This window comes from Homo sapiens, chromosome X (assembly GCF_000001405.40).
Source record: "Homo sapiens chromosome X, GRCh38.p14 Primary Assembly".
Taxonomy (NCBI): Eukaryota; Metazoa; Chordata; class Mammalia; order Primates; family Hominidae; genus Homo; species Homo sapiens.
Window position 1 is genome coordinate 96,396,434 of NC_000023.11, and position 14,605 is coordinate 96,411,038.

At 39.0% G+C, this 14,605-nt stretch overlaps 1 pseudogene, besides 1 other annotated feature; it reads right to left on the bottom strand.

The window, feature by feature from the left end:
* Positions 9,311-9,902: an enhancer, noted in NCBI's record as "OCT4-NANOG hESC enhancer chrX:95660743-95661334 (GRCh37/hg19 assembly coordinates)". NCBI's record gives its function as "activates a minimal SCP1, AML or CMV promoter by ChIP-STARR-seq in naive H9 embryonic stem cells {active_cell/tissue: H9 hESC(naive)}" and the evidence as "EXISTENCE:reporter gene assay evidence [ECO:0000049][PMID:30033119]".
* On the bottom strand, positions 13,999-14,349 carry RN7SKP194 (RN7SK pseudogene 194; annotated as a pseudogene).

Here is a 14,605-nt window from a genome sequence, read left to right on the forward strand (position 1 = left end):
CGCTCTTGTTGCCCAAGCTGGAGTGCAATGGCGCGATCTCGGCTCACCAAAACCTCCGCCTCCCAGGTTCAAGCGATTCTCCTGCCTCAGCCTCCCTAGTAGCTGGGATTACAGGCATGTGCCACCAAGCCCAGCTAATTTTGTATTTTCAGTAGAGACGGGGTTTCTCCATGTTTGTCAGGCTGGTCTCGAACCCCCGACCTCAGATGATCTGCCCGCCTCGGCCTCCCAAAGTGCTGGGATTACAGGCATGAGCCACCAAGCCCGGCTTGTCCACAGTATTAAGTACAGTCACATGCTATACAGGTTTGTAGCCTAGGAGCAATAGGCTAAACCATATAACCTAGGTGAGTAGTAGGCTATACCATCTAGATTTGTGTAAGTACACTCTATGACATTCACACAACAAAATCGCCTAGTGACACACTTCTCAGAACATATCCCTGTTAAGCAACGTGTAACTATACATTATAAATTTGTATAAGAGTTCCCAAATAGCATGGAAAGTAATAGAGGAAAGAAAATCCAATTTGGGAGGAGAGGGACAAGAAAGATTTTATAAGGATGTAGTGGCATTTGAGATAAATCTTAAAAGAGAGGGTAAGATTTTGATACAGAGTTGAGTGGAGATAGAGGAAATAGAAACATTAATCTGGAAATTGTGGCAGAATGGAATTTCTTGACTTTTATTCTAAATTAGACTGAAGTGGTGAATTTCAGTTTTAGTTTGTGAAGATACAGTCCAAAAGCAAAGAATTCTACTAAACTTCCAGCCTCTTGAACACAAGTTAGAGTCCCTTTCTCACTTTGATCTTTTTGTTTCTACACCTTAGCCAATTCTTTTTTTTTTAGAAAATTAAATTTATTTAGTTTATGAGAAATTATGTGGTTATTAAAATTGTTTATTTCTATGTAATAGCTTTCTCTTGATATAGCAAAGAAGAAAATAGATCAATCTTCATGAATTAAGATTTTTAACCATCTGAAATAATAAAATGGATGCATATAACATCTTGAAATTAGTTTCACCTCTATTACTCTAGTTTTGTAAAGCAGACACTAAAATATATATGTGTGTTTGCATATGTGTGCGTACACAAACATAAACATATATACATACATTACTTATTATTTCTCCTCTGTATAGTATATATAATGTGTGTATTATATGAGTATGCATATATAATTACGGTGTCCATATACTATATATATACATGTATAGCGTTTATTCTTAAATAACGCCTTGCTGATTTTCTAGCATGATTCCTACAATGATCAGGTCTTTCCAATTTGTCTTAAGGTAACTAACCAACTCCAAGATATAGAAGAAGCCCACTTCTAGTTAATTGCAAAATCAGCATTTCAATCCTAGGCAAGCATTAAGGCCCAAATAAAAACTCATTTCTTATATGAAGCATTGCCCCATCTGCTCAATCCACAGACACACTTGCTTCTTTTCAAGTCCTACAGCAATTATTAGCAATATCACATTTTCAGAAATTACCATATGCTGCATATGTTATTTGGTTGTTTCCAACTATAAGTTTCTTGAGGATAGTGATCATATCAAACAACAAACCTATGTTAATTGAGCACCTACCTTGTACAAGATGCTATTAGATACTACTGGGAATATCAAAAACAAACAAAACAAACAAGATAACCCCATGGTTCCTGCCCTTATTTAAAGAGGTTTTACTTTATTAAGCCTACATAGCACATTAGTGCATGTTGTTCATTTTGATTGATTGAAAATCAGTGTCAATTTCCATGAACTTCCTAACCTTTCCACCACTTCAATTCAGAGTTTCTCTGTTGCTGCATCTACTCTCTCACCCTTCTCTCCAGCCTCAGAGGAAAAAGGATCTTCTTCCTTTAAAATTTCACACTAGCACTTGTGATCTTGAACACATCTTTCAATACTGTCCAGGCCCTTGGACTTCAAATTATCCCATCTTTCAAGCATTTTCCAAACGTTTTCAGTTGCCTCCTCTCCTCTTACCTCTCCTGCCACTCCCTTCAATTCTCTTACCCCGAACCCAAATCCAAACTCCCACAGATCTCAACTAGTCTGAAAAGACCTTTGCTTGAACTTGCTACTTCTATCCATCATTCTAGTTTATCCCCACGTTGACTAACAAATTTTCAGCAGTGTGGGCCTATACCTTCATTATTAGTTATGGAAGCTACACGTTCAGAATGGTTTCCTGCTCCCAAGTATATAGGCTTTTTCTCAGACCTCATTCCTCCCTAAGATATTTGCATGTAACATGTAACCGTGTTGTCCATGCTCTCTTTTGTGAAAAACTTCCTTACGTGGACTTCCAGAACGCCTTTCCTACTTCTCTAAACACCCCTCACTCCTCCTTGCTGGCTCCTTCTCCCATCATATCCTAATAATGAGCATTCTCTAAGACTCAGTCCTCGGCTTTTTATTTCTGTGTTTATACGCTCTCCATCTAAGAATGCATCTGTTCTCAAAGCTTTAACTATCTGCTAACACAAAGAAACCTAAAAGGTAAATTAGATCATTTTATTGCCCCAGATAATATCTTTCAATAACTTTCTGTTACAAAAAAATAAAATTGAGGCCGGGCGCTGTGGCTCATGCCTGTAATCCCAGCACTTTGGGAGGCCGAGGCGGGTGGATCACTTGAGGCCATAAGTTTGTGACCAGCCTGGCCAACCCTGTCTCTACTAAAAATACAAAAATTAGCCAGGTGTGGCAGTGCACACCTATAGTCCCAGCTACTCAGGAGGCTGAGGCAGGAGAATCGCTTCAACCCAGGAGATGGAGGTTGCAGTGAGCCAAGATGGCGCCACTGCACTCCAGCCTGGGTGACAGAGTGAGCCTCCATCTCAAAAAAAAAAAAAAAAAAAAAAAGGAAAAGAAAAAAGAAATAAACAAAATTTAATGTTCTTTAGATGCTTTTCAAAGCCGTCCATGATCTGGCTTCTGCCTTCCTCTCTAGCTTCATTCTGTGCCACCATGTCCCTTGCTCTGTAAGCTCCAGTCACCTTGGCCTTCTTTCTGTTCTATAGCACAACAAGATCTCTTTCACATCCAATCCTTTTTGTTCCCTCTTCCTGGAATGCTCTTGTTTCTACTTTTCCTGGCTGTTCCCTTCTCATCTATCAGTTCTCAGGTGAAACAGCACTTTATCCCAGGCTTTCTTTGACCATCTAATATAAATAGCACTTTCTCCCAGGCTTTCTTTGACCATTTTACCTAATGTAAAGTAGCCCTCCCTTCATAGAACTGACCATGATTCTATTATTATATGATTCTATGATTATACATAAACATTTTCCTAGTTTATTGTCTGTCTCTCCCTCTTGACTGTAAGCATCTTGAGGGAAGGTGCCATGTCTGTCTTATTTGCATTCTAACTAGCCCCAGTGTCTAGCATAGTGCCTGACAGAATAGGTGCTCATTATATATTTGATGAATGGATAATTCAAAGTTGGAATTGTCCAACTTTGACCTGAGTTCCTGTCTCATATCCTAGTTCCCTATTGGTCCTTTACATTTGGATGTCCCTTCCCTAACATGCTATATCCCAAAATTATCTTATCTCACAAAACTGCCCTCCTCTCCTAATGATAATTTTATATGTTTATGTTTTAATAACCTCACCGAGGCTTGAAATTCAGAAGTTATCTTTAACTCTTTAACTCCTTCCTCTCCATCCCTCTCCCACTCCTTTTTTTTCTTTTTTTTTTTTTTCTTTTTTAGGACAGATTCTCTCTCTATCGCCCAGGCTGGAGTGCAATGGCACAATCTCGGCTCACTGCAACCTCCACTTCCTGGGTTCAAGAGATTCTCCTGCTTCAGCCTCCTAAGTAGCTGGGACTACAGGCATGCACCACCACGTTTGGCTAATTTTTTTTTTTTTTTTTTTTTGCATTTTCAGTAGAGATGGGGTTTCACCATGTTGGCCAGGCTGGTCCCGAACTCTTGACCTTAAGTGATCTGCTCACCTTGGCCTCCCAAAGTGCTGGGATTATAAGCATGAGCCACCGCACCCGGCCCCACAAAAACCTTTAATCTCTCTGCTGGGGTATCATTTGATGATATCCTTTTCTTTACATCCATGGTCACCACTCTAGTTCAGCCTGTTATTACCTATAGTCTAATTCAGTGAGTGATCTCCAAAGTTTTTTATCCTGTACCCCACCCAGATTTTAATAAATGAACACTCATCCTCAATATTTGTATTTATATATTAGATACATGTAATCCAATGATAATATGCTGCCATTCCTCATTCTACTCCCTCTACTTTAGTAATCCTGATGTATTTTATAGTTCCTCAAATGTATCAAGAATGTACCTTTGCAAGTGTTCTTCATCCCTGAAAATCCCCATTTTACCTCTCTATTCTATAGGATTCTGTTTAAAGTATCACCTTCTCTATGAAACTTTTTCTGAGCTCCCGTCACATACATACCAGTACCACCACAAGCACCAGCAGCACCACCACCACCTTGAAGTATATTTGTCTATTTGTATAGACATCTATAAGCAAGTAGAACACCAAATTATACATATCTGCTTATGTTTATTTCTCCCTCTGGACCAAAAGTCTCCAAACACAGACAACTAGCAGTAAAAATGTTTGAGTATTCACCCCCCACATAAACATATGATTGTATTACTGTGTGTATCATATTACTGTATGTTATATCCTACTAGATTATATTTATTACACTGTATTTATATTCCTATAATATATACATTATAAATTATGAAAAGTATAATTGCAAAAGGATGAATTGAAACAAAGATGAATAGTAATTGAAGTTCTAATCCTCTTTCCCTCCCACTATATTTTTTTGAACACACCTTTGAGGCTTTGAGGTGTTCCCATTCTTTTTTGTTGTTGTTGTTGTTGTTTGTTTGTTTTGTTTTGTTTTTTAAGAGACGGGGTCTTACTCTGTCACCCAGGCTGGAGAGTGCAGTAGTATGATCATGGCTCACTGCAGCCTCAAACTCTTGGGTTCAAGCAATCCTCCCCCTTCAGCCTCCCAAGTACCTGGGACTATAAGCACGTGCCACCAAGCCAGCTACACTCCTTTTCGGAGGCGTGTGGTCTATTCTATACTATTGTAATAACTTCCAACACACAGTAATCTCACCCTCGGATAGACCCTTATGGCACTTAATTGGCATTTTTGGTAGTTCTTATACAACTATCTAATTTGAAATTAACAAAAAACTTTAATGATTACTTTTATTTGACATTATTTACTGAGTGCCTATAATATACCAGAAACTTTTCTGGACCCTGGGTTTACAGAAATGAACAAGACAGACAGGGCCCCTGTTTTTATGAAGCTTACTTGCTGGGATGGGGAGAGATAGAAATCAAGATAATTGTATCATATGATCGTAAGCAGTGTGAAGATCTATAGTCTTAGAGTGAGAAAATAACAAGCTTTCAAATTAGGCAAATCTGGATTCGAATCTAGAGTTTACCACATATAAGGTCTGTGATTTAGGCAAATAATTTAATCACTCTGATTTTGTTTTCTCATCTGTAAAATAAGATTAATAATTATCCTCTCAAAAGGTTATGAGAATTAATAAGGTAATGTATAAAGTTTCTAGCATAAATGTCTAGCCAGTAATATTTTAAGTGTATTTTGTAAAATCTTCATAGCTAAAACAGCATATATTATATTATATCTCTATTTAAAGGAATTTACAGTAATACTAGAAACAGGGTATGGAAATTATCTTTTCAGTTCACCTTAATTAGATAAATTTGAGGGCAGATTTGAATGCGAGGAATATACTTTGGAAAATATTAAGGAAGGAATGTTTGGAGCTAGTTATCTGCCTAAGAAAAATAATTGCTGTTGACAGTTTACTTACCTGACAACTTTCCTAGAAGCTGAAGCTTTGGCAATTTATCTTTACTGAATATTAGTTGCGTTTGAGGCAGCCTCGAGCTCCACAGATTACAACAGGCTGGAGAGAAGCAAATATAAAAGAAGAACAAATGGAACCCCAAATTGTCTTTCATGTTCAATCCCCTACCTTCATATATAAAATGGCCTAACCCTACAGAGTTAAGATATTCATCATTTGCTTCCTAGGTTTTCATCTGAAAGATATAGCAAAGCTTAGCACAGCCTCTCTTCCCAGACTGAACACAGAGATAGATAAAGCCTAAATACCAACAGCCAAGACAGTAAAAAGCTATACTACCAAGTTTAATTAAGCAAGTAGTGGTGACCGGGGCAGAGGAGTTGTAAGGTTCAGTGTGACTTCTGAGAATACACTAGTACTTGATGAAGAGTAATAATTATTGTGAATATGCACATTTAGGTGACAAAAGCAATTTAAGGGGCATATGTTGCTATTTGTTTAAAATCTTACTCATAGCTAATATTTCATTTGATTATAGCTATGTGATTTTTATTAAAATCTTTTATTTTCTAATAGTAATTGAATCAGCATTGATATGCTCATCTTATTACATTAGCAATTAATGTCTTTTGTGTGTTTTATAAAACACTTAGACAACAAATTCACTGTTTTTTTTTTCTCTCACTCCACTTCCTAATGGTTTTTCCAAAAACCTGAGACTCAGTGAAAAATAACAACTGCAATGCTGAGTTAGCCAAGATTTTCTGAATTGTATATGTCTTTTTCTGATGATTTGTGTAGTTTAAATTCTGGCCTCTCAACACTTTTCTGTAAGGAAATAACTAATTAAAATCCACACCTGCCAAAGAGCTCTTTAATCTTTTAATATTCATAAGCCTTAACCTTCATGGCTAATGTCATGTCACCTAGGTAACTATGCATTAAACTTCATAAATATTAGACCAACCTTTTGAAGCTCAGTTTCTCTCAGGTCTATCATGAGTGATCAACATCAGAAAATAGAAATGAGTAACTGAAAACTGCCCTTTGGTACTCCAAGAATGATGACTTACTTGGTAACTCATATGATGTTGGAAGAAAATTACCAATACAGTCAGCAACTCATTCTCACTGCTAGGGTAACAAGGTTCACCCAAAGCATGAAACAACAAATGGAAAGTCTACCTTTCTTTTTATTCATGAATGCAAAAGAATCAGGTTAAGTTCAAATATAGCAAAGGAAGACTTTAGTTATGGTGCAGAGCCGAAAGAGAGTGCACCTCATGCACAATCATTTCATTTGAAGGCCAAGTTGATGTATTTTGACCACGTCCCAACAGTACACTTGAAATGAATCATGGTTTTATGTGACAGGAAATGATAATACAGGAAGGTAATTAGTTACCAGGAATTAAAGGAGCGAAAATAAACCATTAGCAATTTTATTTTCAGTCTCACTATGGAAGTGAGTTTTTACTCTCTGCACTTACTAATGTTAAACTTTATTAGTCATTTGAATATAAGTCATTAAACATTCCTACTTAAATTAAATGTTTGGTATTCATTAATTAAATGTTATTAACATGATGCTTTCCTTTCCCACTGCTCTGCTCCAGCCTCTCATTTTAACTCCCCTGGATAGTTACAGTAGCCTCCTGACTGATCTCCATGCTTCTAGTTTGTCATATATCCAACCCAGAGTCATCATCACCATCATGATATTGATAATAGCAACTGCTATCATTGAATGAGTACATATGATGTGCCAGTGTATAGCGGGGCATTTTAATTTAATGCTCACAGCAACTCTATAAGGTCAGTACTAATGTTGTAGAAAAAAACAGGTTCTTGTCACACGACCAGGAAAAGTTAGGCACGCAGACACTTTAAAGTGTGAGGGGAAACGGAATTTACTAGGTGAAAAGGAAGAAAACGCTCGGCAAAGCAAGAGGGTTTCCTGTTAAGAGGCCCCCAGCTCACCGATTGAATCCCAGGTACCACAAAGGAAGAGGAGAGGCCAGACTCCTGCACCCCTGCAAACGGCACGAACTTCCCATGACTCCACCATGTTCTCCCAGTGCCCAGGCAGATAGATGGGAGATTCTCCGGGGATCCTCCCCCTTATCTTCCTCCTGCATCTATCACTAATGTCATCCCCTTTTTACAGATGAGAACACTGAGGCTGAGCTGAGGTTAAGTAATTTATTCAAGGTGAAATAACTAGAAAACAATAGATCTCAATTAAGTTTTGCCTGTTCTAACTTTAAAACATACACATAGTCCTCCACTTCTGTCTACATCCCCTACAAATTCAGCACCTATCAGGCAGAACTAACTTTTTAAAAATCTAAATCATGTCATGTCAAACCCTACTTAAAATTTCCTCTAACGGCTTCCTGATATGATTAGAGTAAAAAACAAAATCCTTACCCTGGTCTACAAAGACATGATAATCAGACCCCTACCTTCCTCTAGATCCTAATCTCTTGCATGTCAGCCCTTTAGTCACTTCAATCCAGCCACATCAGCCTTCTGTCTGTTTCTAAAACGCATCAAGTTCATTCCCACATAAGGCCTTTAAATCAGCTATTCCCTTTTATTGGAAGTCTTTGCCTCAGATATTCACCTCACTAATTCCATCTTCTGCATAGCACTTACCACCATCTAAAGCTATCTGTAAAATGTATTTTGTTGTTGTCGTTACTGTCCTCTGTCTCTCCTGTACCCTGCTAAAGAGTAAGCACCATGAGAGCAGAGGACTTGCCAACACTCATCACTACTATGGCCCAGGTGACTAGAACAGTGCCTGGAATGTAGGAGCTCAATAGATATTAACTTATCAAATCCAATTTTGTCAGACTTCAGAGCACTTAGCTCTTAACCACAATGCTAACTTCTTTTTTTTTTTTTTTTTTTTTTTTGGAGATGGAGTTTCACTCTTGTCACCCAGGCTGGAGTGCAATGGCGCGATCTCTGCAATCTCCACCTCTTGGGTTCAAGCGATTCTCCTGCCTCAGCCTCCCAAGTAGCTGGGATTACAGGCATGCGCCACCACACCTGGCTAATTTTTGTATTTTTAGTAGAGATGGGATTTCCATATGTTGTCCAGGCTGGTCTCGAACTCCTGACCTGAGGTGATCCACCCGCCTCTGCTTCCAAAAGTGCTAGGATTACAGGTGTGAGCCACCACGCCCGGCCCACAATGTTAACTTCTTAAACGATAGATTTGTTCACCTTACTTCTTTCTTCAAAAATCACCACTATTGCCATTTTCTAGAAAATAAAGTTCCAGCTGCTCAGTGTTGCTTTCAGGGGCCTTCACATCTAGCCTGTCTTTCCATCTGACCTCCACCTGCACCTCACCTCATGTGTTATGACTGAAACACAGCAAAGGATCTGAATACTCCCCATACTTCACACTCTGCACTTCCCCACACTGCCACCTCCCCTGACTAACCATTTCTACCTATAAAATATGACATACATCCTTCACAGCCAAGGTCAAACCGCACTTCTTATCCAGAACTTTCCTAACCCTGAAACTGCCTTTGCAAAAATTATTATCAGTGAGAAAAATTCTAACAATAAGCTGAGCTACCCTGCCTTCCCTATCTTGCCTTTCCCTTAGTTATTCCTGGGCTATTGGGCCAAGCTCACTTTGGAAGACCTTTAGGCTATTATTTAAATGATAATAGGCCTTGCCCAAAACTCAATCACCTTTGTAAAGCTAACAGGAGGCCATCAGGCTGAGGGGAGGAGGGGCCCCTGAGTCCTGCTAAGGTGCAGACACAAAGGACTGTCAGCCATTATTTTGGAAGTTATAAGATCTGCAACTTCCCCAATTCTTCCTACAAATAATACTACTATTGTAGATTGACCTTTTGGGATATCTCTTCAGTTTTTTTGCATGTCTGACATCCATCGCTCCACATGGACCCACCAACCGCACTCCTGTGGCCCCATCCAGAAGGGATTCAGTCCACTAGAGGACAGCTTCAACCCCCTAAGATTTCATCTCAGCCCTACCCAATCAGCAGCAAGCACCTGTTACCCGTCCATCCCCACCCCTTCCCCCAAACTGCCTTTGCAAAACTCCCAAACTAGGAGGTTCCAACCAGATGATTTGAGTAGGAACTCCATCTCTCATCTGAGGTGGCCGGCCTCATGTCTATTAAACTCTTTCTCTACTATAGTGCCATAGTCTTTAGGCAGCAGGCAGGAAGAACCCCTTGGGCAGTTACAACCCCCTCAGACATAATTAATTTCTCCCTCTATAATTCCCCCCCATGGTACTGTGTAGATCTTAAAACATTCACTACAATGTGCCTCGCAAGAAAGTTAACTGTCTCTGCCTCCAGATTGTTACCACTGTTATCTTATTTTCTGTCATGTTTTTTTAAAATACAGGATCTAGCACATAATGTTTACTCAAATATTGAACTGAACTAAACGTTTGTGGGCTCTCACATCCCTTTCACCACTCATGTATGCTGGTTCTATTATATTACATTTTTCCCCTTGCTTCTTAATTGCTTTAATTTATTTGACTTGGGTATGTAATTTTTCCCCAAGCTAGATTTTAAGATAGTGAAGACTTCTGTTTCTATTCCTTGTCCTTTCTCTTGTCAACAATACCCCTCTACCCTGTGGTCCCCCATTACTGCTCCTTTACATTTAACCTGTTGCTGAACATGTAGGGAGTATATTCTATATAACAATGAGTGAAGAATAACTGACTACACAAATAAATAAATGGATTAAAAGAAGAGTTCCACTAGGTTTAGTGTAAGTTTAAAAAAATAGCATCAAAGTAGTCCAACTAGTTTTTCCCTTTCTGTGTTTCAAGTGGAACAATGGTTAATCAGAGAGGCGGGGTATGATAGCAGCCCTGGGCTACTGGCCAGAGGGAGGAACAGGAGATCAGAGTCTTTCCCTCACGATTTCTGGCAGATTTGCAGGGAGGTTTAAGAGCAAAGATTAGATCAAGCTGACAAAGCAGGGTCAGGGTATTATTTGCATTCTCCTCCCTCCATACCTTCAACTCCCCCAACGCAGACATGAACAGCTTTGGGATGGGTAAATGCATAAATTGATTTTCCCTAGCATTATTATTTGAGGAGACCATGGAAGTCTTGAAAATAGCTACTTCTCAAGAGTAACCATTTGTGGAGAAAATAATGAAAACCGATTACGTTTACGAATTTTATGTGTATCTCTAGAAGGATAGATAACTATCAAAATATTAGTGGACTGGTAAATAGTGGTTAATTAAGAGGTTGCAATGGCCATGTTTATTTGTTTTTTAAACATAAAATTTAGTCTGGACAAGCATCAATATTTAAGACATCTCATTTTTGCCCAAAATGGCTTATGGCCCAGTCTGGATGAGTCAGACCAAACAAATGTCTCCTGTGTATTTCCAGAGTAAACATTTCTCAGAGGCAGAACTCTGCCCTCAGCCTTGCCTATTAACACATAAGACTGCTTGAGCTTTTCCATAAACATAAGGAAGAGGAAGAAAAGGCTGAGGAGGAGGGAGAGAAATATAAGGCAAAGTTTCTTAAGGAATAAATTAAACATCGACCCTCTTGAGGAAAACCAGCAGGTTTGACTGTTTTTGTGTTTGGTGAATTGTATATCTATTTACTGTGGAAAGACCTCCTTAGCCATAGGCAAAAAACAACACCAACAACAAAAGAAACCCAAAAATTAAACACCAGGAATTGGACAAGTGACTTAGCCTCTGAAGACAACCTCGAATAACCATCAAACTCTAGTTAGGTAACTCTTTGGCAAATAAAAAATAAAAATCAAGACAAAACCACCAAGATGCCTAAGTATGTGCAGTAGCATCTCCAGGCGGACATTTCCTGATCCAGACTGTAAATAAGAGGAAGCAAAAGAATGATGAATAATGGACAATGAAGCATGTCAATCCTGTGGTAGCTAAAGAAAGGGATTTTTACCCTTAGAATCAGAACAGTCTCTTGATGACTTAGTATAATTATGCTATCAGCCAGCAAACACACAGAATATTCTTGATTGCACCAGGTCCTTAATACACCAGCAAAACCATCAAATAAGGAACTGTTAACAGTCCAGTAAAGAACAGCAGCATTTGAAAAGGTCTGTCTTTTAGGTTTTAAAATAAAATTCCCAGGCCCGGTGTGGTAGTTCATGCCTGTAATCCCAGCACTTTGGGAGGCCAAGTGGGGTGGATCACTTGAGTCCAGGAGTTTGAGACCAGCCTGGCCAACACAGCGAAACCCCTTCTCTACTAAGAATGAAACCACCTTTGCAAAAATTATAACTGAGGAAATTATGACACTGAAAGAGATCATACCTAATCAACTCCATCTTGCTTCTAACCTTTCAGCTGTCCTTGTTCATCCCTGTGCAAAGGCTGAATTAACTTTGGGAAAGAATTCAGTTTACGGTTTGACTCTGAAACAAAATTGATAGTAGCCCTTTCCCAAAAAGACCCCCTTCTCACCTGGGGACCAGTCTGCCTTTGCAGGACTAACAAATTAGCTATAAGATTAGAAATTAAGGTTAAGGAGTCATGCAGCCTCTGACTGCAAGAGTCTGAACCTCCCCAAATTGCTCCTAGGGATAACATCACTGTTGTAAAACCTAAGATCAGTGCTTGAGATATTTTGCAGACCCTGCACTGGACAGATCAGCCAACACCACCCAGACAGGTAATCTGGCTGAACCAGCTCTGCCATCCCACCCAGGAACAGAAGACAGCAAGAAAACCTCACTTCGACCCCCTGTGATTCCATCTCCAACCTGACCAATCAGCACTTCCCACTTCTCTATCCCCTACCCACCAAATTATATTTAAAAACTCTGATCTCCAAATGTTTGGGGAGACAGATTTGAGTAATAATAAAACTCCTTTCTCCCGCACAGCCGGCTCTGTGTGAATTACTCTTTCTCCATTGCCATTCCCGTCTTGATAAATCGGCTCTGTCTAGGCAGCGGGCAAGGTAAACCCATTGGGTGGTTACAAAAAAAAAAAAAAAATTAGCCAGACACGGTGGCGCACACCTGTAATCCCAGATACTGGGGAGGCTGAGGCACAAGAATCCCTTGAACCCAGGAGGTGGAGCTTGCAGTGAGCTGAGATTGTGCCACTGCACTCCAGCCCAGATGACTGAGCGACACTCTGTCTCAAAACAAAACAAAACACACACACACACAAATTCCCCTTACTAATGAAATCACTTTATGCAAGTAGGCTGCCAAGTATTCCGTTTTCCATACAATGGATGAATTGGGATTTCTTTTTTAAAAAATTCTGGCATATTTTACTTCAACTCTAGGTATATGATAGTTTAACATAATAAACTCCTGCAATCTATAACTGACAACTAAATACACAATCTAATACCCCAATCCTTGAGGTATTTTTTATTGTCATGCTATAAATATTGCCTTATTTACCTACAATATCTTCCTCTGTGTGGTAGAAAAGTTACTTTTTGTATATAACTTAGAAAATCCTCTTTAAAGCCAATAAATTGAAATTGTAGCTGATAAGATGTTAAGCCCAATGAATAATAATGAGTCAGGAATGGTATGAGCCACTTGAATAAATTGATGTCAGGACCATTTGGGGAGAGAAGAGACACATACAAACACCCTCTCAGAGAGAAATGTTGTGGAAGAATGGGTTACACTTGTATGTTACAAAGTTAATTATATTAATAAGCAGATTGAAATCCATCAAACTCAGACTTTTTTTGGAGCCATGTGAAATAATACATTTAAAGATCTGAAGGTTGCACATTTTATCTATTTGATTCTTGAAATTTCTGAAATCCAATAAAGAAAGGCACTTGCTGTCAGACCAAGAAAGTAGAAGTTAAGGAACATAAGGTTTAGAGCAATATTATTCAAAGTGCAGTAGCTGGACCATGCACCATCAGAATCACTCAAAATATGTAATACAAAGAATGATTCCAAGTTTTACCACTTCAGATATTCCAGAGTATATCTGAAATCTCTCCTTATAACACGCTCCCCTCCCCAGATTATTCTATGGTCATTAACAGTTGAGAAATGCTAATTTAGGTATTTATTCCGGGTTATTCTTGCTTATTCCTTTGATGCTCTAACAAATCTTTCTAACCTCTATGTGAAAGGTTACTACTATGCTAAATTTATGCATTGCCCTATTCCCAAATGACACCAAGATACAAAGTTTTAATAGGGTTAAGAAATAGCCCCACTTTCTGGGAGCTTGCTTGGAGGTTCTAGCAGAGGAGCACAGCTACTCATATATCCTTGACCGAAGAATGGTCCTTTTCTACCAGGGAAGATTCTCTGACTGAATGTGCAGCTTCAGGTGGGATGTACATGGAGAAGTGAGGGAGGAAGCAGACACCTGCCTAGCCAGCCAAATCAGCCAAAGGCACCCTGGTGATCAATGGGGTGAGAGATGTCGCAGCCAGATAGCTCTTACATCCACCCCTACTTTCTGGAAAGGGGCTTTGAGTTTTCTGCAAATCCCAATCTCCCCTGCCCACATTTATTTATGTAAAGGACAAGTCGAAGGCTTTTGGATATTTTAATCCAAAAGTTTTATCAAAACATAAATTGGTAAAGTATTAATGTTTTAAGCCACAACTTCCTACAGGGCAAAGAGTGTTTACCTGAACCAGGAACATGTGGGAATTTTTTTAAAAAGAACTTTTTAATGATGATGACCATTAGCAAAAACAG